Source organism: Homo sapiens, chromosome 11 (genome assembly GCF_000001405.40).
Source record: "Homo sapiens chromosome 11, GRCh38.p14 Primary Assembly".
In the NCBI taxonomy this organism is placed as follows: domain Eukaryota; kingdom Metazoa; phylum Chordata; class Mammalia; order Primates; family Hominidae; genus Homo; species Homo sapiens.
Genome location: NC_000011.10, coordinates 124,673,152 through 124,698,036, shown reverse-complemented (window position 1 = coordinate 124,698,036; position 24,885 = coordinate 124,673,152). Strand labels below are relative to the sequence as shown.

The window sequence follows — 24,885 nt, the reverse complement described above, 5'->3', positions numbered from 1 at the left end:
AAACACAATTCCCTCCAATGGAGGAACCTGACAACCATTGTCCAATGAGTTTTCCTAATTGTTATGGACCAGTGGCTGTGATCTGCTTCCATTTCTCCCCTTTGTGAATAAGAGTATTTTTTTGTGGTTATTATTGTCTCTATTCCATCATTTGTTGTATGTTTGGTATGTGATAAAAAGATGCTTGCTCTTTTAATTCATAGGTCTCTATATCAAGAAGGGCTATATCTGGACCTGATGTAGATCATGAGATCCTGGATTTCAAAGATGTGATGGAACTTTTAGGGGTTTTGGGATAGGAGTGGGTCAATTTTTGCATGTGGTAAAGACATAATTATAATCAAGAAAGCAGATCGTGGTAGATTAAATTACTGGTCGCAATTCTTCACTACCCTGTAGTAGTATTATGCACACATGAAGCCTTTGCTATTGGTGAACAGTGTATTTCCTCATCCTCCTCACTTTGGGCTTCATTAGATGACTTTCTTTTGTATATGGGATGTCAGTGGAAGTGATATGAGCAAAAGCTTGAAATATTCTTGCATGCTGGGTTTTCCTGCTTGTCTTCTGTGACCAGCATGAGAAGAGCTTGTCCTGGATAACGTCTTTCAGCAGGGGCTCAGAAAAGGACACGTGAAGCAGAGGCACTGTGCTGCAGCTGACCCTTGGGCCCACAGCCTGAAGCAGACCTTCCTGTCAGCCCACAAACCCACAGCTTAGAGCTGACCTGAACCTAACCTTGAGATTGTAGTCCAGCCTAGCTTAGCTACATTACCACTGACCTACAGACCCAGGAGAAAATATAATTGTCTTAAACCACTAACTTTGGAATGGGTTGTGCAGTAGTAGTGAGATAATCACTGGCCAATATAGGTTATTGCAATAATTCACAAGGCTATCATGGGAACTAGGACCAAGGCGGTAACAATGGAAGTGGTTAGAAGTAGGCAGATTCTGAGTATTATTTTATAGGTACAGCCCACAGGTTTTGCTGATAGATTGTATATGGGGTGTGAAAGAAAGTGACGCATTAAAGATGAATCCAAGGTTTTTGGCCTGAGCAAATGGAAGAATGGAGCAGCCATTTTTGAATGGAAAAACTTGGGTGTGGGGGAAGTTTCAGATTTGGGGGCAATATCAGGATTCATTTTTTATATGTTACTTTTGAGATGCCTATAGACATCCAAATGGGGATGTTATGTAGGCAGTTGAATATAGAAGTTCGCAGGCAGAGGAGAGAAAGGTCTGGGAGTGATCATTAAGAAGATTGGATTTTAAAGCTATGAAACTGCAGGAAATCAAGTGAGTGTAGAAATGGGGTCGAAAGACTGAGCCTAAGGGCACTTAGCATTTAGTGGTTGGGGAGTTGAAGAGTTACCAGTGAAGGGAATTGAGAAGGAACAGCCAGAGAGATAAGAGGAAAACCAGATAAGTTCTAATAAAGTGTCATTCATATGTGTTGTTCTCATAATATCACATCCATTGCTCACCTTTTCCTTTTCCTCCTTCACTACCAATATCACTACCATGAGATCTGTGTGTGTGTGTGTGTGTGTATGGAATGCATAGTGCTAGTCACTTTATGTGTATAACAGGAGAATTACTGAAAAAGCTAACTCATCTTTTTTTTTTTTCCTGCTATATACTCACTAGGGAAAAAATCCCTTTTTTCCTCTTCTGATCTCTCCAGGTCAGGGAATCTAAGTCTTTGCATAAATTCTGGGTCCCCCCTTGACAATCCGCTAAGCAGGATGGCTCTGTCTGAGAGGGGAAGGTGTTAGAAGCTGGTGCTTTCAGTGGAATGGGAGGGACGAACAGCTGGAATCCTGGAGGAGAACTGATTTCTTTTCCTCTGTAAGCCTGGAGGAGAGGGGTTAAGGAGGAGAGGAAGGGGGATATTAGAGACTTGTGTTTAGCTAGCATGAAACTCTCTACAGTGGCAGCAAGATTTTGGAAGGAGAAAGGCTGCCTGTATGAGTGGACATTAGAGAATGAAAGCCACAACCTTGAAAGGGTTGGTGTGAATCAACTGTGTTTGAGTGGCGATCACTTGGGGGAACCTCTGTTGCAGAGCCTGATAAAGGCTCAGTGCCAGGGAAGGGCAGTGAGGCACCTGAAATAAAACTGCTTTGCAGAAAGAGCATGTCTAAGCCTAGGACAAGGATCAAAGTGTTTGTAGGAGAGTATTTGTTGTGACAACATAGACCTGGTTTTAGAATCTCCTCAGGACTGAGCCATCCTGGCTTGTTTTTAAGCTTTGGGGGAACACTGGCTTTGTGACTATAAACCAAGAGAGATGTAATCCTGGAACTAAATCATGGGCCATCCACTATGGTGCAGGCAGGAATTGGAACCAGCCAGAGAATCACCTCAGTCTGCTGGACTATGCTACAACATTATGGTAGAAGGCAACAGCATTAACTAAATGGTAAGACTCCACTTTCTACCTTTTGTATTGGGAAGAGAACTGCACCCTTTGGTCTAAGACATGAACCCTCAGTTTCTTGGACAATCAAGGGTGGAGAGGCCTCAAAAAGGAGAGACGGAACTTTCTAAAACTAAGGCACTAGGGATTTGAATGAATCATTGAAAACATAAAAGAGATAAAGCCTCTGAGTTTGTTAAACAGGCATTACCATTGTATATTTAAAAACTTGGGAAGTTTTAACTGAAGAAGGCAGCATGATATGATAGCTTTTGCTTTTTACAATATGATGTTATTAGTCTTGTTCTGTGTGGTTCTGGAGAGCAAAACAATAAAGCATTGTAAGTTGTATGAGTGTAAGAACAAGTATTCACTACTAATTCCCAGCACATGAATAGTACTCAATACATTTTCAATAAATGATTGAATACATGTATGATAAATGAAAACCAGTGGGTTAAACTTACAAGGAGGCAGAGGCTTTTTTTTGTTTTGTTTTGTTTTTGAGACAGAGTCTTGCTCTGTCGCCCAGGCTGGAGTGCAGTGGTGCGATCTCGGCTTACTGCAGCCTCCACTTCCCAGGTTCAAGCGATTCTCCTGCCTCAGCCTCCCGAGTAGCTGGGATTACAGGTGTGCGCACCACGCCTGGCCAATTTTTGTACTTTTAGTAGACATGGGGTTTCACCATGTTGGCCAGGCTGAAGGAGGCAGATTTTTGTCCCAGCTTATCTTTCTAAAAATTCCAAAATTAAATAGACTATCCTTAAAAAGCAGTGAAATTCTTTACCACTAGGAGTGAAACAGGAGCTAAAGAACATTTTTGGGGGATGTGATAGAGAGGATTTATTCATTTGATAATAGTTAGAACACATAACCTCTGAGATCTCTGTAATCTCAGATACTTTAGTTCTATAATTCTAAATCCAAGGGTCTCTATAGATAGGCTTGAGACAAGTGTAAACAAACTCATGATCTCAGAGAAATCTTCAAGTGGCATGTTTCAATGGTATGCTTATTAAACAAATGCTCATGACAGATTTTCACAACAGTAACGAATGTTATTTCACAACATCAAATCTTCCTTCCTCAGGAAGAAATGACATTAATAAGAAGGTTGATGGATTTGGATTATTTTTCATGTTTCCTGGAGGTAAAACCAGTGTCCTCACTTGTTTTCCTCTTTTTCCTCATTTTGAAGACTATTTGTTTTCATTTTCTTTGCCTCCTCTCTGGCTATGTGTCCCCGGAAGGCAGCTTGGATTTTGACAGCAGCAACCTCTTCTTTTTCCTTATCTTCCTCAGAAGAGTCCTTCATCGAAAGGAGAAAAAGTAAGAGACTCTTTAAATATGGCGTAGTTTTGATGCCACAAAAATAAATGGATGAAATTTAATCATTTTAGGGATGCAACTATCTGAGAGCTGTTGCTTCCTGAGGGAATTTCATATATTGTCACATTGTATATGTACCAAATGGCAAATGCCAAAATAGCAGGCATTTTGTTTTGTCACTCTTTTAATATGTCTCTGCAACAAAAGATCATTGCCAACTTTCTTTCCCCTAAAATAGTGCCTATTTAAGTTTCCTGAGCAACAACATTTTTTGGGGGGTTGGGGGGACAAGAAAGAATCCTTGAGGCATGGTAAAAATGTTAAGAAGAAAGAACTGTAAATGTTATGTTTCAAAATAATCACAATTACATATAATGAATTAGAATAACTTCTCAATTTCTCAATGATTAGTTAATCATCGTCATACATTTAAAGTGAGGTGCCAAAGAGAAATCCATTTAGTCCAATAATGTCAGTTTTAACAGGGTTGGTTGAACTTTGGCACATACCCTCTTTTAAAAAAATTGGGTATAAATTTTTAGCTATAAATTTACAGACAGTAAAATGCATGAATCTTCAGCGTACAATTGAATATACAGCTTTTAATATATCTTTTAAAATTATAGAAATGACATGTATACACTTTAAAAACTCAAATGTCACTGGCAGTGATAGTTTTCTCCACCTATCCAAATCCTGCTCTTGGGAGATACCCATTATTATGAGTTGAGTATCTACATCCTTCCAAAATTTCTCTATATGCAAATATATTCATATGGGTATATATATATATATATGTCTTTTTATTTTAAAAATGAGATCATCCTAATCACAGAGTTCTGCAGCTACTTTTTCCATGTAACGATATATCTTGGTTCTCTTTTTCTGTATTATTAGTCAGTGTATAACTCTCCCCATTCTTTTTTTATGACATCATTATATTATACTGATGTACCTTGATTTAATATTTACTCAATCTCATATTAATGGACCTTTGGGTTGCTCAAGCCTCCTATCCCCCTATTATAAATAATGAGACAAATCTAGCTCTTAAACTTTTAAATGCAAACAGAATGGTATAAAATTCTTCGAGATGACATCCTAATATAGCAAACAAATACACTCAAGTTGGAAATCAATGAGATCCCTACTCAAACTCATGAAAACCTGTGTAAAAGCACCTATGAAAGATGTAAGGAAATAAAACTCCCTTCTTCCTTGACTTCCTGTTACATCTTAATGTTAATCTTCCTGTTATATCCTAATGTAATGTTATTTCAGTACAACCCAATGGCAATTGTGGAACAACCTGTAAATCTTATAGGGAAAAGCAATGCATCACTAGGTAGGAAGTAGGGTATTCCTTGAGGGGATATCCATTCTGGCTGCCAGTTCTTGGGCAACTACCTGGGACCTGAGACATAAAAAGGAACTCAGAAGTTTGAACTTCGACATTTTAGAGAGTGAGTTCTTCTTTCTTATGAGGCCTAGTCCACAAGAGTCTGGAGTATGAAGAATATAGACAATGATGTACTGGTAAGTGTTTTAACAACTGGCTCTCCAGAAGAAACAAAGCCCTGATTTGCAGTGTTTGCCATGGTCTTAATATTCTCATTGTGGCTGACTTCAAGTTATTAAAGTGACATTACTGAACAATGGGCCTTTGAGGGTGGACTTCGCTATGTCTTTTTTTTTCTTTTTTTGAGAAGGAGTCTTGTACTGTCGCCCAGGCTGGAGTGCAGTGGCGTGATCTTGGCTCACTGCAACCTCCGCCTCCCGGGTTCACACCATTCTCTTGCCTCAGCCTCCCGAGTAGCTGGAACTACAGGCGCCCGCCACCATGCCCGGCTAATTTTTTGTATTTTTAGTAGAGATGGGGTTTCACCGTGTTAGCCAGGATGGTCTCAATCTCCTGACCTCGTGATCTGCCTGCCTTGGCCTCCCAAAGTGCTGGGATTACAGACGTGAGCCACCACGCCCGGCCTCCGCTATGTCTTGACTGCTTGGATGTAGTACATCAGGCACGAAGGCATTTTTGTAGAGCGTTATGCATGGAAGATGAATAAGCCACATTGTTGTAAAGCCATTATTTTGGCTGTATGTAATTCCCTGTGATTTTCCTTTTGTTATCTCTGAAATTTGCCATTGTGTAGTGGTGACAGCACCAATTAGTGAAAAATTCCCAAAGTGGAAGATGAATCTGAAGGATCATGACTGGGTCTGTGAGTTCTGTCTGCCCTTCCCCATAGGGAGATTTTTCCATCCATTAACAATCTTGAAAAATAAGATTTCATTTTTAAAGGAAAAATGAATTTTTGATCAAGAGAGGCATGGCTGAAAATTATCTACCAGTTAGTTTATCACTGATGTTAATTATCTGGAAAGTAAAGTCATAATTTTGACAATAAAGATAACAGACATTCATATTTGGAGTTCAGTTTTAAATTGGGCAATATCATTCTTTGTAGGAATCCAATAGTACATGAAAAATATTACATACTAAGATGGTGACTGATGTCTCTTCCTCCTTCCCAGATATCTGAGACTCTTCTTGTTTAGGATCACTTTTCTCAGGTGGTTCTTGCTCCTGGACAGATAGGAGAGAGCCACAATTAGCAATGTTTCCAAAATGGCAAAGTCTTGTATCAAACTGCTTAGAAGTAATGAAACATTACTTTAAATTACTGAGAAATAGGGGGAATTAAATACTACGTATTTATCTTTTAATAAGGAAAATACATTGAAACAAGAAGAAATAATAAAAGCTCTTAAGGAAATACGTGTAAACAAATATTAAAGACCAAATAATTGGCAAAAATGTTTGATCTGTTGCTTTTGGAATGTGTGTACCACTGTTTTATGTTAAAAATAAACCACTGTCCTATACTAAAAGTTGATAAGATGATGTAATGAATCCTGAACAAAGTATAAAAAAGAGGATCCAATAGTTTCTAAAATAGGAATAAAATAAATGGCATTGTGTTCCATAATGTGACATCAAATTGACTTTTTAGTGACGTTTATGGATTAAAACTAGTCAGAGAAGTAAGTTTTGCTGTGGAGTTTTGCTTTATGATTTAAATATAAAAGGAGAAACCACCTCTGCCTATTTTGACATGGCTATTTAAGTCTTCCTTCATTGCTAATTCACACCTATGGAAAGAGCTTCTTTAACCCATAAAACCAAAATTTAAGAATATATAAGTTAATCAAATAAAGCCTTTAGAATTAAAAAAAGAAACACCCCAAAATTGCTATGTGATGCAAGGATTTAAAATCTTTCAACATTATTCCTTTGACTTCGATAAACATGAATACAAATAAAACATGAGCACAGAGAATCTAGTAAAATGGAAATACACAGAACACACCCATACCTGCAGGCACAAATGGATGGAACTTCACTTTCAAACTTGTGTAATAAGTGACAGCTCCTTCTTCAAGAAATTCCCCAAATCTACTGGAGAACTTGAACTTTGTTAATTCTTTTCAATTCTAATATCTGCTGTGCTTTGTGGCTAATAGTACTACCTCAGTTGTCTAGAGCAGTGTTCTCAAATTTTAATGTACCTACGAATTATTCTGGTGATCTCTTAAAAATGTAACTTCTGATTTGTAGACCTGGAATGGGGCCCAATACTTTGAATTTCTTCTTTTTCTTTTATATTTGTACAAATTTATGGAGTACATGTACAATTTTGTTACATGTGTGGATTGGTGATCAAGTCAGGGCTTTTAGGGTGTCCATCACCCAAATACTGCACATTTTAGCCTTTAACCAATTTCTCATTATTCTCCTTTCTCCCACCTCTCCTCACTCTTCTGAGTCTCCATTATCTATCATTCCACGTCTATGTCCATTTAAACACATTTTTTCAGCACCCACTTATGAATGAAAACAAGCACTACATGTCTTTCTGTGCCTGGCTTGTTTCACTTAAGATAATGGCCTCCTGTTTCATCCATGTTGCTGGAAAAGACACGACTTCATTCTGTATTATGGCTGAATTGTATTCCATTGTGTATACATCCCACATTTTCCTTATTCATTCATCCATTGGACAGATACTTAGGTTGATTCAATATCTTTGCTATTGTGAATGGTGCTGCAAACAACATAAAAATGAATGTATCTTTTGATGTATTGATTTATTTTCCCTTGGGTAGATACCTAGTAGAGAGATTGCTGGACTGAATGGTCATTCTATTTTTAGTTATTTGCGAAATCTCCATACTGCTTTCCTTAGAGGCTATACTAATTTACATTCCTGACAACAGTGTATAAGAGTTCTCCTTTCTCTGAATCCTTGCCAGTATCTGTTATTATTTTGTCTTTTTCATAGTAGCCATTCTGAGTGGGGTAAAATAATATCTTACTGTAGTTTTGATTTGTACTTCTCTGATGATTAGTGATATTGAGCATTTTTTAATATACCTGTTGGACATCTGTATGTCTTCTTCTAAAAAATCTCTATTCATGTCCTTTTCCAAGTTCTTTTTTCTTTTTCTTTTTCTTTTTTTTTTTGAGACAGGGTCTCACTCTGTTGCCCAGGCTGGAGTGCACTACAGCCTTGACCTGTGGGCTCAAGTGATCCTCTCACCTTAGCCTCCCAAGTAGCTGGGGACTACAGGTGCACACCACCACGTCTGGCTAATTTTTTGAAGAGATGGGTTTCACCATGTTGCGCATGCTAATGTCAAGCTCCTGGGCTCAAGCAATCTTCCTGCCTTGCCTCCCAAAGTGCTGGGATTACAGGCATGAACCACCACGCCCAGCCCTTTGCCCACTTTTTAATCAGATTACTTATTTTTTGTTGTTGTTGAATTGTTGGACTCCCTTGTGTATTTTGGATATTAGTCCCTTGTTGGATGAATAGTTTGCAAGTAATTTCTCCCATTCAACAGCTTATCTCTTCACTCTGTTGATTATTTCTTTTACTGTGCAAAGCTTTTTAGCTTAATTAAGTCCCATTTGTCTATTTTTGTTTTTGTTGCCTGTGCTTTTGTGATCTTAGTCATACATTCTTTGCCTAGACCAATATCCAGTAAAGTTTCTCCTAGGTTTTCTTCTAGTATTTTTACAGTTTTAGGTCTTATGTTTAAGTCTTTAATCCATGATGGGTTGATTTTTGTGTATGATGGGAGATAGGGGTCCAATTTCATTTTTCTACATACGGCTCTCCAATTTTGCTAGCACTATTTATTGAAGAGGATGTCCTTTCCACAATATATGGTCTTATCAGCTTTGCTAAAGATCAGTTAGCTATATGTATATGCTTTATTTCTGGCTCCTCTCCTCTATTACGTTGATTTATGTATCTGTTTTTATACCGGTTCTATGCTGTTTCGGTTACTGTAGCCTTGTATTAGGTTAGTGCAAAAGTAATTGCTGTCTTTTCCACTAAAAGTAACAGCAAAAATGGCAATTACTTTTGCACCAACCTATAATATCATTTGAAGTCAGGTAATGTGATGTCTCCAGTTTTGTTCTTCCTGTTAAGGATTGCTTTGGCTATTTGGACTCTTTTTTGGTTCCATATGAATTTTAGGATTGTTTTTCTCAATTCTGTGAAAAGTGAGTTGGTGCTTTGATAGGGACAGCACTGAATCTGTAGATTGTTTTGAGAAGTATGGTCATTTTAAAGATATTAATTCTTTTGATCCATGAGCCTGTGATGCTTTTCCATTTGCTTGTGTCATCTTCAATTGGTTTCATCAGTGTTTTGTAGTTTTTCTTGTACAGCTTTTTCACCTCCTTGGTTACGTTTACTCCTATGTGTTTTTTAAAGCTATTATAAATGGGATTGCCTTCTTGATTCCTTTCTCAGTTAGACTGTTATTAGTGTATAGAAATGCTACTGATTTTTGTGCATTGATTTTGTATCCTGCAACTTTACAGAATTCATTTAACAAATCTAAGAGTTTTCTGGTGGAGTCTTTAGATTTTTCTAGACATAAGATTATATTGGGAGTCAGTCATGGTGATGCATGCCTGTAATCCCGGCACTTTGGGAGGCCAAGGCAGGATGATCACTTGAGGCCAGGAGTTTGAGACCTGCCTGGACAACATAGCAAAAGCCCGTTTTTACAAAAGACAAAAACATTATTCAGTGTGGTGGCACATGTTTGTAGTCCTAGCAACTTGGGAGGATAAGATGGGAGATTCCCTTGAGCACAGTAGGCCAAGGCTGCAGTGAGCTATGATTACACCATGGCACTCCAGCCTGGATGACAGAGTGAGACCCCATCCCTGAATATATATACATATATATATCAGTGAACAGAGATAAGTGACTTCCTCTTTTCCAATATGGATGCTTTTTATTTCTTTCCCTTACCTCATTGCTCTGGCTACGACTTCCAGTACTATGTTGAATAGGACGGGTGAAAATGGGCATTCTTGTCTTGTTCCTGTTCTTTGGGGGATTGCTTTTAACTTTTTCCCATTCAGTATAATATTAGCTGTGGGATTTTTGTGCATGGCATTTATTGTTTTGAGGTATGTTCCTTCTATGCCTAGTTTGTTGAGTGTTTTTATCATGAAGGGATGTTGGATTTTATCAAATGCTTTTTCTGCATATGGTTTTTGTCTTTCATTTTGTTGATGTGATGTATCACATTTATTGATTTGCATATGTTGAACCATCCTTGCATCCCTGGTTTAAAACTGATTTTATCATGGTTTATTACCTTTTTGATGTGCTGTTGGATTCTGTTTGCTAGTATTCTGTTGAAGATTTTTGAATCTATGTTCATCAGGAATATTTATCTGCAGTTTTCTGTTTTTGTTGGGTCCTTGTCTCATTTTGGTATTAGGGTGATATTGGCCTCATAGAATGAGTTAGGGAGAATCCATTCTTCTCAATTTTTTGGAATAGTTTCAGGAGGCTTGGTATTAGCTCTCCTTTGTATGTAGAACTGGGTAGAATTTGGCTGTGAAACCATCCAGTCCTGGGCTTTTTTTTTGGTGGTGTTGGGGTGGGGGAGATTTTTATTATGGAATCAATCTTGCTACTCGTTATTAGTCTGTTCAGGTTTTCTATTTCTTCCTGGTTCAATCTTGGTAGGTTGTATGTTTCCAGGAATTTATCTATTTCCTCTATGTTTTCTAGTTTGTGAGTGTATAATTGTTCATAATGGTCTCTGATGACCATTTGTATTTCTGTGCTATCAGTTGTAACGTCTTCTTTTTCATTTCTGATTTTGTTTATTTGGGTCTTCTCTCTTCTTGGTTAGTCTAGCTAGCCATTTGTCAATTTTATTTATCTTTTCAAAGAACCAACTTTTTGTTTTGTTAATCCTTTGTATTGTTATTTTAGTCTCTATTTAATTTAGTTTTGCTCTGATCTTTGTTCTCTCTTCTGCTACTGTTTCGTTTGTTCTTGCTTTTCAAGTTGCTTGAGTTCATCCTTTAATTGTTAATTTGTAATCTTTCTACATTTTTGAGGTAGGCATTTATTGCTATCAACTTCTCTCTTAGCACTACTTTTTCTGTATACCATAGGTTTTGTTATGTTGTGTTTCCAGTTTTCATTTGTTTCAAACAGTTTTTTTTAAATTTCTGTCTTAAGTTCTTTTTTGATCCAACAGACATTCAGAACCATGTTGTTTAATTTCCATGTGTTTGTATCATTTCCAAAGCTCCTCTTGGTATTGAATTTTAGTTTAATTCCACTGTGGTCTGACAAGATACTTGATATTATTTTGACTTTTTAAAATTTGTTGAGACTTGTTTTGTGCCCTAACACAATATGGTCTATCTTTGAGAATGTTCCATGTGCTGATGAAAAGAATATATATTCTGCAGTTGTTGGGTAGAATGTTCTGTAAATGTTTGTTAGGTCCATTTGTTTAAAGTCAAGTTTAAGTCCAATGCTATTGTATCAGTCCATTCTCACAGTGTTATGAAGAAATACCTGAGACTGGGTAATTTATAAAGAAAAGAGGTTTAATTGACTCACAGTTCTGCATGGCTGGGGAGGCCTCAGGAAACTTACAATCAAGGCGGAGGGCACCTCTTCAAAGGGTGGCAAGAGAGAGAATGAGAGTGGGGCAAAGAGGGAAAAGCCCCTTATAAAACCACCCCCCCCCCACCCATGATTCCATTACCTCCACGAGATCCCTCCCATGATATGTGGGAATTAAGAGAACTACAATTCAAGATGAGATTTGGGTGAGGACACAGCCAAAGCATATCATTTGGCCCCTGGCCCCTCCCAAATCTCATGCTCTCACATTTCAAAACAGAATCATGCCTTTCCAACAGTCTCCCAAAGTCTTAACTCATTCCAGCATTAACCCAAAAGTCCAAGTTCAAAGTCTTATTTGAGACAAGGCAAGTTCCTTATGCCTATGAGCCTGTAAAATCAAAAGCAAGTTAGTCACTTCCCAGATACAATGGGGGTACAGGCATTGGGTAAATACACCTGCTCCAAATGGGAGAAACTGGCCAAAACAAAGGTGCTACAGGCCCCATGTAAGTCTGAAATACAACAGGGCAGTCATTAAACCTTAAAGTTCCAAAATGATCTTCTTTGAGTCCATGTCTCAAATCCATGGTGTGCTGAGGCAACAAGTGGGATCCCATGGCCTTGGGAAGCTCTATCTCTGTGGCTTTGCAGGGTAAAGCTCCCTTCCTGGCTGCTTTCATGTGTATGCAGCTTTTCCATGTGCACAGTGCAAGCTGTTGGTGGATCTACCACTCTAGGGTCTGGAGGATGGTGGCCCTCTTCTTACAGCTCCACCAGGCAGTGCCCCAGTGGGGACTCTGTGTGGGCTCCGACCTCACATTCCCCTTCTGCACTACCCTAGTAGAGGTTCTCCATGGGGGCTCTGCACCTGCAGCAAACTTCTGCCTGGACATCCAGGTGTTTCTATACATCCTCTGAAATCTAGGTGGAGTTTCCCAAACCTCAATTCTTGACTTCTGTGGACCCACAAACTCAACACCACATGTAAGCTGCCAAGGCTTGGGGTTTGCACCCTCTGAAGCAATGGCCTGAACTGTACATTGGCCCCTTTTAACCAGAGCTGGAGCTGAAGCAGCTGGGACACAGGTCACCATGTCCCGAGGCTGCATACAGCAGGGGAGCCCTGGGTCTAGCTGAGGAAACCATTTTTCCCTCCTATGCCTCCAGGCTTGTGATGGGAGGTTGCTGTGAAGGTCTCTGACATACCCTGGAGACATTTTCCCCATTGTCTTGGTGATTAACATTTGGCTTCTCATTGCTTATGCAAAATTCTGCAGCCAGCTTGAATTTCTCCCCAGAAAATGGGGTTTTCTTTCTATTGTGTCATCAGGCTGCAAATTTTCCAAACTTTTATGATCTGCTTCCTCTTGAATGCTTTGCTGCTTAGAAATTTCTTCCACCAGATACTGTAAATTATTTCTCTCAAGTTCAAAGTTCCACAGATCTTTAGGGAAGGGGCAAAATGCTGCCAGTTTCTTTGCATAGTAAGAGTGACCTTTACTCCAGTTCTCAACAAGTTCCTCATCTTCATCTTAGACCACCTTAGCCTGGACTTTGTTGTCCATATCACTATCAGCATTTTGGTCAAAGCCATTCAACAAGTCTCTAGGAAGTTCCAGATTTTCCAACATCTTCTTGTCTTCTGAGCCCTCCAAAGAGTTCGAACCTCTCTGCCTGTTACCCAGTTCCAAAGTTGCTTCCACATTTTTGGGTATCTTTACAGCAGTGTCTCACTCTCTGCAGTACCAATTTACTGCATTAGGCCGGAAGCAGTGGCTCATGCCTGTAATCCCAGTGATTTGGGAAGACGAGGTGGGTAGATCACTTGAGGCCAGGAGTTTGAGACCAGCCTGGCCAACATGGCGAAAATACAAAATACAAAAATTAGCTGGGCATGGTGGCATGCACCTGTAATTCCAGCTACTCGGGAGGCTGAGGCAGGAGAATCACTTGAACCCAGGAGGCAGGGGTTGCAGTGAGCCAAGATTGTGCCACTGCACTCCAGCCTGGGTGACAGAATGAGACTCTGCCTCAAAAAAAAAAAAATTACTGTATTAGTTTGTTCTTACACTGCTATGAAGAAATACCTGAGACTGGGTAATTTATTAAGAAAAGAGGTTTAATTGATTCACAGTTCTGCATGGCTGAGGAGGCCTCAGAAAACTTACAATCATGGTGGAAGGCATCTCTTCACAGGGTGGCAGGAGAGAGAATGAGAGCTGAGCAAAGGGGAAAAAGCCCCTTATTAAACCATCATCCCCCATGATTCAATTACCTCCCACTGCATCCCTCCCACAACATGTGGGGATTATGGGAACTACAATTCAAGATGAGATTTGGGTGGGGACACAGCCAAATGATATCAGTTACTTTGTTGATTTTCTGTTTAGATAATTTGTCTAATGCTATGAGTGGGGTGTTGAAGCCCCTCACTATTATTGTATTGCAGTCTACCTCTGTCTTTAGACATAGAAATTTTTTTTAATGAATCTGGTTGCTCCAGTGCTGGGTGTGTATATATTTACAATTGTTATATCCTCTTACTGAATTGATCCCTTTATCATTATAAAATAAACTTGTTTGTTGTTGTTTTCTACTGTTTTTAACTTAAAGTCTGTTTTACCTAATGTAACTATAGCTACTTCTGCTTGCTTTTGGTTTCTGTTGGCATGGAATATCTTTTTCCACTTCTTTACTTTCAGTCTAAATGCTTTTACAGGTAAGGTGAGTTTCCTATTAGCAGCATATAGTTGAATCATGTTTTTTTTTTTTTTTTAAAGAAATCCATTCAGCCAGTCTATAGCTTTTATGTTGAGCATTTAATCCATATATGTTTAAAGTTATTATTGATATGTGGAGTTTTGTTCCTTTTGTCTTATTGTTAATTGCTTTCTGGTTATTTTATACATTGTTTCTTTTTCTCTTACTGTTTGTCATTGTGGACTGGTGGAATTCTGTAGTGGGCCCATTTGATTCATTTCTGTTCCTCCTTTGTGTGGTCGCTTTAACAGTGAGTTTTATACTTTCCTGTGTTTTCATGATGCTAACTTCCATTTTTTTGCTTCCAAGTTTAGGATTTCCTTGAACACTTCTTGTAGGGCCAGCCTAGTACAGACGAATGCCCTTGGCATTTGCTTGTTTGGGAAATACTTTATTTCTCTTTCATTTATGAAGGTTAATTTTGCTGGATATAGAATTCCTGGCTGATAGTTGTTTTCTTCCAGCTCTTTGAATTATCATCCCACTCTCTCCTGGCCTGTCAGGTTTCTGCTGAGAAGTACGGTTATTAGTCTGATCGGGTTTCCCTCACAGTTGATGAGATGTTCTCATCTTGCTGTTTTTAGAATTCACTCTTTGACTTTAGACAGTTTGATTTTAATGTGCTGTGGTGAAAACTTTTTTTTTTTTTTTGCATTGTATTTGGGGAATCACTGCACCGCCTATATCTGGATGTTTAAATCTCTTGCTAGACTTGTGATGTCTTCATCTATTATTGCATTAAATAGGTTTTCTAAGCCTTCTGATCTTTTTGTCCTTGCGGATACCAATAATTCAAATATTCAGCTGCTTTATGTTGTCCCAAATGTCTTAAAGGCTTTGTTTATTCTTTTTTATTTTTGTCTTACTGGATTGTTTCAGACCTGTATTCAAGTTCTAAAATTTTTTTGTTCCACTTAGTCTAGTCTATTGTTAAATCTTTTGAATGTATTTTATATTTCCTTCAATAAATTCTTCAATTCCAGAATTTATGTTAGGGTTTTTTTAAAAATAAAAATCTATCACCTTGTAAAATTTTTCATTTATATCCTGAATTGTTTCACTGAGTTCTTTGTATTGGTTTTCAGATTTCTCTTGCACCTCACTGACCATATTTAAAAATCAGTATTTTGAGTTCCTTATCTGAGACTTTAAGAATTTCATTCTGGTTATGATCTATTAGTGGAGAACTGTTGTGTTCATTCTGGGGTGTCATACTTCCTTGTTTTTCATGTTTCCTGTGAGACTCTGAATTTCTATCAAGTTTCCAGTTGATGCCAATAATGCTGATTCCACACAGCCTTTCTCAACCAGCATTCATTATCTGAACCATGGAACACAGAGAATGTTTTGAGAAGCTCTTTTCTCAATTCTCCCAAGGATGGTACCTAACCAGAACCATTCTAGATACAAATCAGGACACTGATTCCTTACATGCAATTAGTGCCTTTGGTTTAGGGCTTAATTTTTTTGAGGAAACTTGGTTGAGAAAGCTGTCTTTGTAAAGCTGCTAAAGAGAAAGGCTCAGACTCTGAAAAAGCTAGCTTTATAGAGAAAACTACACCATTACCACCTTTAATTCTAACCGGTCTTTTGTATCAATAATATCATATCGATGATAATGAAATAATTGGACTAATAGTGTTTTGGTCTACGAAATATCATCTATTAATTCAGTAATTATTTGTGGAGTACCTGCTATTGCTTAGCACTGTGATGCTGAAAACATTTGAAGAATAAATGATGAAATAATTATTCATAACTTTTAAGCACCTTCTTCCTGTTGTTCATCATTAAACTTAAGTGAAATATCTGTACATGACTCAGATACTTTAGAAAAATATTCTCAGCAAAAAATCCCAGCACAATTTTAATTTAATAAGTTTTAATAAGATTTAATAAGTTTTTATTAAATCTTTTTAATAAATAATCTTTTTAATAAAATAAGATTTATTAAATTTTAATTTAATAAGATTTAATAAGTTATTTGTGATGCCTCCTCACATAATTCTCACAATTCTGGGGATAGCCTAATAATTGCTAGCTGTAGACAGAGAGAAGAAATAGCCAAATCCAACAGCTTCAAAGGACCATACCTCGAATGCATGATTGTTATAGAAGCGGTCTTCTACCTTACTCCCCCATTCTGCTGGATCAAAGTTGGTTTCTAAATAATAAAAATATAAGAACTTCAGATTTATTTGAATTCATTAAGGTAAATGTAGAATAGTGACACAAATGTAAGTTTCTTGTTTCAAATTACAGGTTCTTTACTGGCAGTCCAAAATCTTATTGACATTGTGCATAGCGTAGCACTGCAGACATTACCAGTGATTATTAAACATATGATAACCAACTGAACATTGGATGAGCCTTTGGGGATATTTAGAAAAGCACTAAAAACGTAATTTCTGCCTTCATAAAATTTATAATAAAATGGGAAAAAGAACAAATGCCAGTACTTAAATATAAATGTAGACACTTAGAACATGTATTAGTAAACACAGAAAAATGTATAAACCTAAATGCTAAGTTGTCAGAAAGTCTGGAAAAGTGAAAGATGGGAGAAATTTTTTTTAATGAAGTATATTATGTAGACAGTTGACACAGACAAGCAGAGGTATTTATTTTTAAACAATTTTTTTCTTTAACTTTATATTATAAAAATTTCAATACTTAAAAAGTAGATATGATAACAAACTCCCATGAGCATACTGTCTAGATTCAATGATCAACCCATGATTTATTTTATTTATAACCTTTTCTTCTGATTATTTTTCTGCACTTTTTTCTGATTATTTTTAACCCAACCCCTTGCATCCTGTTATTTTATCTACAATTATTTATTTCAGAATGTATCTCAATATATACTCTTTTAAAATATAACCACACCACCATTATCATACTTCAAAATACTAAAAATATTAATAATTCCTCAATATCCTCAACTATTCAGTCAACTATCCAAATTTCTTCCATTGTCTATTTATTTGTTGGTTCAAATCAGGACCCCGAAAACGGGCACACACAGCTCTTTGTATGTCTTTTAAATTTCTTTTAAAGGAAGAGCCCCCAGCCCCTATTCTTTCCTTGCAATTTATCTGTTGATGAAATTACGTCATTTTCCCTTTGGAGTTTTTCACAGTTCAGATGTTTCTGACTATCCCCATGGTGGCTTTTAACAAGTTCTTCAGCCTTTGAATTTCCTGTAAACTGGTAGCTAGCTGTATAGGTTTGATCTAATTCGGGTTTGACGGTTTGATTTTTTTTCTGCAAGTATACTTGATTGGTAGTGCTGTGTAATTCTGTCATAAAATTTATAATATCTGGTTACTCTTTTTATAATTTTTATCGGCCCCCTGATGATCCTTGCTTAGATCATTTCCTTAGGGGTTGTGAAATGGTAATGCTCTAATTTGATCAATACTTCTTTATTTTCTGGAGTACTCATTAAGGAAAACTTTTCCTCATCAACTGTTTGGTTACTCCGAAGAACAGTTGTTACAGAAAAGAAAGGTTAAAGGTTTAGTTCTTTCCTTTCCTTTTATTTACCAGTTTTCAGAATAATCAGTTGGATTCCTAGGATCCTCTCAGGATGACCAATGAGTTTTTTTTTAACCATCACAAATTCACGAATGTTTAAGAAAATGGATGCATTTTAATCCAATGCACGTATTATTCTTATTGATGCTCTAATTATTAAACATTTGTCCAGTGGTAGCTTATTCAGGTGCTCAAATGTTCCTGAGTCCTTTGGAAACACCTCTAGTAACCTTTGATAGCTTCCTTGTTCTCTGGTATGGCAAGACGTTCAGCCTAATCTGGTATATTCCCTGCCAAGTTCATGAAATTAGCTTGTTTTCCAAGAAGCCCTCATTCCTGGGAATGGTATTTAGAGATGACAACCTGGAAGCTGGGTGCTCACTGGTATTGGGTTGGTCATTGTTTTGAGACCTTTAATGTACAGAGCTAGAAAATACTTCTTTCATTTTTTAAAGAGAAAACATGAGGTCACACTGATATTTTTCAACTCAAATTTAAGATTACAGGATTTTATTAACCTCTTTCATTTTCATAATTGTATGTTGTTTTTCCTGCACCAAAAATCTTATTCCTAATAACACTAGCTTAGTTGCTTACTTGCTTTGTTCTACAATATATAATTTCACTATATAATTTCAGAATAACCATACCATAATATGATTAACAATGATTACTGAAAACAGCTTAAGGGTTTTTTTTTTTGAAGTTCATTTTGTTTTTAGGATATATGCACTAGGCATGTACGGTCAAATTACTCCATTTTAATATCACTTGAAATAATTCCTTTCTGTATGGTTATGTCACGCAGTCTATACTAGTTAGGCTCATATGTTTCACTTTGCTTTTACATTTTAGAAATTGCTTTTTTTTTTTTTTTGAGACAGAGTCTCACTCTGTCACCAGGCTGGAGTGCAGTGGTGCGATCTCGGCTCACTGCAACTTCCGCCTCCTGGGTTCAAGCCATTCCCTTGCCTCAGCCTCCCGAGTAGCTTAACAATTTTAAATTTAAAATTATAACTATGTTAAACTTTTATGATTCGAAATTCAAGATATTTTCTATCATGTTCTCTCTACCCTGTTCACTTTCTCCTAAAGGCAAATGTTAAGTTTTCAAAGATTTACTTTTCCATTTAAAAATATAAACAAAGTTGGGCATGGTGCCTCATTCTTGTAATCCCAGAACTTTAGGAGGCGGAGGCTGGCGGATGCTTGAGCTCAGGAGTTCAAGACCAGCCTCGATAACATGGCAAAACCCTGTCTCTGCCAAAACAAAAAACAAAAACTCCCCAAAACAAAAATTAGCCCAGCGTGTTTGTGCATGCCTGTAGTTCCCAACTACTTGGGAGGCTGAAGTGGGAAGGCTGCTTGAGCCTGGGAGGTTGCAGTGGAGCCACGATTACACCACTGCACTTCAGCCTGGGCGACAGAGCCAGAGCCAAACCCTGTGGCAAATACACACACAAACACACACACACACACACACACACACACACACAGTTATGTATTCATATCAACCTCTTTTGTTAAATGATAGCATACTGGCCAGGTGTTGTTTCTCACAGCTGTTATTCCAGCACTTTGGGAGGCTGAGGCAGGAGGATCATCACTTGAGCCCAGGAGTTTGAGGCCAGCCTGGACAACATCATGAGACCCCCGTCTGTGTTTAAAAAAAAAATGGTAGCACACTAAGCACACTTTTCCCCATCTTGCTGTTTTCACTGAATATATCCCGAAAATCACTCCACAGTATCATCCATAGTATTATCGAGAGATAGTTCTCATTTTTGAAAACAGCTATATATATAATTCAGTTGTATAGATGTATTATAGTTTGTTCACTCAAACTCCTGTGGATATTTGGGTTGTTTCTACAAAGAATGATGCCCTGAAAAGTGTAGAAGTGGCACCTCCGGGTCAAAGGTTAAATACATATATAATTTTGGTAGGTATTGCTAAGTTCCCCTCCTGGAAGTTATGGCATTTTGCTTATCTACCAGCAATGTATATAAATGCTTATTATCCCACAGCCTACAGAGCATGTTGGCTTTTTGCCAATGTAATGGAGGGGTTGTTATTGGTAGCTCAGTGTAGTTTTGATTTGGACTTCTGTTATTATGCATTAGTTTGAATATACTTTCATAAGTGCCATTTGCATTCATTTTTGTGTGAATTGTTTGCTCATACCTCTTGCCAATATTTTCTGTTGGATTCTATAAGCCTATAACACACTGTTTTTACAAACTATTTATTTATTAGGGCTATTAACCCATTGGGATATAAATTGCAAATATTTTTTGTTTGTCTTTTGTAGTTTTGTTTTCCTCACAGTGCTTTTTCTCATGTAAAAGTTTACTTTTATGTTGTCAATTTATAACAATCTTTTCTCTAATTGCTTCCGAATTTTTGAAGCAATTAAAGCAATTTAGCTAGCAAAATTTTTTCTTCTCTTATAGAGAAATTCATCCATATTTTCTTCTAGTATCTGTATGGTTTCTTTTAAAAAATATTTATATACTCGACTAATTTGGAATTTGTCTTTGTGTATAAGAAATTGATCCAATTTTATCTTTTTCCTTTATCTTAAAATAACAAAAAGTCCACCTTTTTCCTAGTGACCTGAAATACCATTTAAATCATATACTAACATGTTCCCCATCACAAAAATAAAAATTAAGAGTAGTAACCACCTATGATGAATGCTGGCAAGGGAATTCTTGCATTGTGTGGGAGACTGAGCCAGAGGTCCATAATGATTGTTTTTTTTCCTTTTTGAAGAGACTGAATTCTGATACTTGTATCTTCTAGATAATTTGTCTTTGGTTGACATGGGTGGAATTGGGTGTGGTGCTTACAATTTTTTCAAATGGTTTTACCCATTGTTTATTAGAGAGCTAGTGTCCTGAGACCACTAATCTGAATCATCATTTGCTTTAATTATTGTGATCCAGTAACAATGACGCAAATGTTTTTATAATGGAATATTTCTGAGTTCTAAAATTAAATAAATGACTAAAGACTTTTACTGCAAGAATTTGTAGTTAATCTTATAATAAAATTGATGTTCATTATAATTCACCTCTTTTCCCAAATAATTTTAGTTTTTTCCCCTTCCAACTTTTATTTTAGGTTCAAGGGATACACGTGCAGATTTGTTACATGGTTAAACTCTGTGTTAAGGGGCTTTGGTGTAGAGACAATTTTGTCACCAAGGTAATCAGCATAATGCCTGATAGGTAGTTTTTCAATCCTCACCCTCCTCCTACCTCTGCTCTCACATAGGCCCCCAAGTCTATTGCCAAATGATTTCTCTTAATAACGTTCCTCTTCTAAATATAGTTTATCAAATGTTTTCAGTGGAAAATATTTAAAGTTTCAGATTGTGCAACAGATATTCACCCTGACCGGATATGGAAAAGACCAGCAACATTCAGGAAATTGGCAGAGATTTTGAGCTCTGCTAGGGCAGGGCAAAAAAAGCAAGGGGTGGAGCTATGCAGTGTGTGTGGGAGTTGTTTTAATTCTACCCTTGTGCTAGGTTTTCTTCCACTATAAAATGATTACAATAGAATGTTTGTTTGCTTGTGCCTATTTCTAGTCACCTTTACCACTCTGTTAGAATACTGTAATAAAAAGTAATGATGACAAGAATTTATACAAAATGGATGTTCTAATCAACAATGGCTTTCCAGGGGTTGGGGCAGGGGTCGTGGGAGTGCCCAGGATGGAGTGCAGTGGCTATTCACAGGTTTAATCATAGCTCACTACCGTCTTGAATCCCTGGGCTCAAGTGATCCTCCTGCCTCAGCCCCTGAGTAGCTGGTACTAAAGGTGCGCACCACCATGCCTGGCTTAGGATAGGTTTTTAGTACAAAACTGGTAAAGTCCTGACAGTCATAAACCTTCAAGGTTGGGGATTTGTAAATTTTATTTATAGGAGTGAAGGAATTTTGCCTTGGCTTTCAACCAAATAGTTATTGTTAGTGGGCATCTGGGTCTCTGTGCAGGATGGAATTTAGCATAAAGAATATAAATTACCTTTCCAAACTGGTATTCCACCTTTCAAATCAGTTTGTCTGTGCCGTTATTGCAGAACAGTTTCATATACCCCAGTGAATATCAGTTTATTTAAAGAGTGCAGAATTCTTTTTGCAGTACTTAAAATACTTTCAAATGGAAGGAATCAAAATTGAAAGGAAACCACAGATACTCATCTCAGGAATAACAGTCAGCTGCCAGGGATGCATAGGAACAGTATGCTGGAACGTGGCGAGGGTAGACTGTATGATCTTTTTTTCCCCCACTGATTTCTCCCGAGAAATGTATGCTCTTTTGCAGTTACCTTCCACGCTGTATGTCCGTGAGAAATACAATGAAGACGGTCTGAATAATGAACTGGTAATCTTCGATAATATGAAACGAATTTAAGAGAACATATCAAAGAGGTACATACTGTTTCAAAGAGCAAGAACTGTTATCTGAAACTCCCTGCCTCATAAAAGGCTTTCTGCAGAATGGAGATGGTCTTAAGCAAGTTTTACCATAAACAAATGCTTAGTTTCTTATTTTAAAAAATGACTAATTTTAGAAAGCTTACTCTCTCTTTTCTCTAGAAGGCTCTCAAAATAGGCTGCTGCAAAAGCTGGTATATTGTCCGGTTGCTCTCTCAGAATCTCGCGTGTCAGCCCTTCAAGAAGATTCCCAAATCCTTGTGGAATTCGGTAGTGGGTGTTGGAGAATGGAATCGACATCTTCTTGGTAAGAACTGCCTATGGAACCTAAAGATTCATTAAAGAGTACTGTCTTTAAATTTGTCTGATTTTACTTATATAATCACAACTATGCCAACAAATTATTTCTGAGACTCATACATCTGGACTTGAATTCTTTTTTCCCTAACACAACCCAAGCCCATCCATTTCTTCCAAAGAGTTTTGAAATCTCCATTGTGAATTAGTATAATACAAACACAGACCCATTCACTAGGCCAAATCATTTAAAATCCTGCAAAAAACCCATAATTTTCAATATGACTTTTTCTCTCTTTACCCTTTATATGCTCAAAAGGTAAGGGTAATTTTTGCTATCACACAGGAATTTAGAGAGAATGATTGCTAAAAAGTTAAATTCATTGTCAATTGCTGAGAAGACCTTCTTTGAGGTCTATTTTTTTTTAAAGAGTAGAAATTAGTCCTGGTTCTAGAAATTAATTTGTTGAATGAAGAAGTTGCACAATCTTTCCCCTTGCTGCCACTTCTGAAGCATGACCCACAATGCTTCGAACACCTTCGTACTGTGGAATGGGGTTGTGCGTGCGTGTGTGTGAGGGAGGGATGGGATGGGATGGGGCTGTGTGTCATGATTTTGAAATCCCAGCCTCTAAAGTTTTAGAATTCTTATATTTTTCGGTTTCTTCTTGATCAGGTTGTCTCTTTCTGTCTTGAAATACAAGGGCTAGATTAAGGGTAGCTGCTAAGCAGCGGGCTGAGCTACTACTGAGTATGAAAAGAATCCTCCGGGACCTGGCCTGTTAATGTGAGAGTGTGCGTCAATGCGGAATAGAGGCGGAGGCCGTGGTAGGGGTCCAGGTTGGGAGAACTGGACGGTTTAATGAGGCTCAGACTATGGAGGGTTCTCGTTTCATCGCTTTTTTTTTCTTTGAGAGGGGGTCTCTGGCCTCGAACTCCTGGGCTCCAGCGATGATCCCGCCTCAGCCTCCCGAGCAATTGGGATTACAGGCGCGCGCCACCACGCCTGACTCCTCTCTTTTGCTTTTTCTGAGGGAGCAGTAGATGGGGGTATCGAACCATTCTAGAGTGGTGAAAAGAGCTGGCGAGATTCTGAACCAATGTGGGCAGAGGAGGGCGGGCGGAGGGGGCAGACGGGTCTAGTCGGGGGCGGGATGTTGAGGACCTGGGATTTCAGACTCGCGCAGAATGGGCTGCCTCGGCTCCCAAACGGCCCAGGGCTCCGAGGCTGTGTCTGGGATGCTGAGAGAATAAGAGAGACGAAGGGAAAAGGCTAGGTCTTGGTATCGGAGAGGAAGTGGGGAAGCGGCCTCACCTCCTTTCTCTCCGAGCTGGTGCCGCCGGTTCCGGTTGTTTTTCTAGTTGCTGGGTAACCGTTTTTTCTTTAAAAAAAAAAAAAAACTACGGCGGCCGAGAAGGGGCGAGTACAGCCCAGTCCTGAGGTCGCGGGAGGCTGCGAGGACTGCAAAAGGGTGGAGTCGGCCTCGCCCCCGCCCAGGCCCCGCCCCTGCCGGGAACCCACTTTCCCAGTCCTAGGCGGCGGTCAGATCCTTGCAAGCATGGTCGCGCCGGGGCTTGTACTCGGGCTGGTGCTGCCATTAATCCTGTGGGCCGACAGAAGTGCAGGTGAGGCGGCCCGGCTCGGCCGGACCCCTGCCCCTCAGCCTGTGCGGGCTCCGAGACCCCGTGTCCTCTGCGGGACACGGATCCGCGCCCCTTTCTCAAGGTCGACGAAGGAACCTAGCTAGGCTAGGGGCTCGCGTCTCCGACCGAGGCCCGGTCTGCAGGAGTCTGCTGGGTTGAACCCCGGCCTCTCCACTTTCTCCACCCCCCACTTACCATCCCTGACATGCAGCCTGTGAGCAGGGAGAAAGTGCGGCTTGTCTGAGTGGGGAGGCCCAAATGTGCCCAGAAAGAGGCCTTCGGGGTCCTGGAGTAACTGCAGGGGAGCTCGGAGGGAAGGAGGCGAAGCTAGTTAGGTAATATTTGGAAACAGGTGACTGAATCTTCCAAAACATTTCAGCGCTACCCCCTCAGTGGTGCCCTTGGGGAGGGTTTGCTTCAGGCGGGGTTCCTTAGGGGAATTAAATTTTACTCGTTTAAGTGGTTATCAGGG

The 24,885-nt window shown here is 38.6% G+C and overlaps 2 protein-coding genes and 1 long non-coding RNA gene across 7 annotated transcripts in view, besides 4 other annotated features; 1 reads left to right on the top strand and 2 right to left on the bottom strand.

The window, feature by feature from the left end:
* Positions 1–518: 518 nt before the first annotated feature.
* Positions 519–24,133, bottom strand: SPA17 (sperm autoantigenic protein 17). 3 transcript variants are annotated; one of them, XM_024448583.2, is made up of 5 exons: positions 23,935–24,133; positions 22,619–22,799; positions 16,578–16,648; positions 6,255–6,341; positions 519–3,734 (listed from the first exon to the last, which is right to left on the bottom strand). In XM_024448583.2, the coding sequence occupies exons 2-5, from the start codon at positions 22,770–22,772 to the stop codon at positions 3,591–3,593; spliced, it is 456 nt and encodes a 151-aa protein (XP_024304351.1). In that variant the 5' UTR covers positions 22,773–22,799; positions 23,935–24,133; the 3' UTR covers positions 519–3,590. The 3 variants fall into 3 exon arrangements, with proteins under 3 accessions (XP_024304351.1, NP_059121.1, XP_011541172.1); NM_017425.4 differs by having other exon boundaries at positions 24,085–24,133; XM_011542870.3 differs by lacking the exon at positions 23,935–24,133 and adding an exon at positions 23,544–23,843.
* The window catches only part of SIAE (sialic acid acetylesterase), a 43,191-nt gene continuing 40,039 nt past the window's right edge, over positions 21,734–24,885 (top strand). For 2 of the 3 annotated variants that reach the window (NM_170601.5, XM_047427133.1), the window contains exon 1: positions 24,298–24,395. In NM_170601.5, coding sequence (NP_733746.1) covers positions 24,329–24,395 — 67 coding nt within the window. In that variant the 5' untranslated portion in view covers positions 24,298–24,328. Of the gene's footprint in view, positions 21,853–22,359; positions 22,467–22,634; positions 22,780–24,297; positions 24,396–24,885 lie in introns of those variants that run through there. The other variant, NM_001199922.2, reaches the window with a different exon arrangement.
* LOC124902780 (uncharacterized) lies at positions 21,932–22,612 on the bottom strand. The gene is made up of 2 exons (XR_007062933.1): positions 22,475–22,612; positions 21,932–22,371 (listed from the first exon to the last, which is right to left on the bottom strand). It is a non-coding gene; the product is annotated as an uncharacterized LOC124902780 (long non-coding RNA).
* Positions 24,023–24,202: an enhancer, noted in NCBI's record as "active region_5689". NCBI's record gives its function as "activates an Ori minimal core promoter by ATAC-STARR-seq in GM12878 lymphoblastoid cells {active_cell/tissue: GM12878}" and the evidence as "EXISTENCE:reporter gene assay evidence [ECO:0000049][PMID:35858748]".
* Positions 24,023–24,362: a biological region, named in NCBI's record as "ReSE screen-validated silencer GRCh37_chr11:124543663-124543821".
* Positions 24,112–24,270: a silencer, noted in NCBI's record as "fragment chr11:124543663-124543821 (GRCh37/hg19 assembly coordinates)". NCBI's record gives its function as "represses an EF-1alpha promoter that drives an FKBP-Casp9 reporter gene in an ReSE screen in K562 erythroleukemia cells {active_cell/tissue: K562}" and the evidence as "EXISTENCE:reporter gene assay evidence [ECO:0000049][PMID:32094911]".
* Positions 24,243–24,362: a silencer, noted in NCBI's record as "silent region_4024". NCBI's record gives its function as "represses an Ori minimal core promoter by ATAC-STARR-seq in GM12878 lymphoblastoid cells {active_cell/tissue: GM12878}" and the evidence as "EXISTENCE:reporter gene assay evidence [ECO:0000049][PMID:35858748]".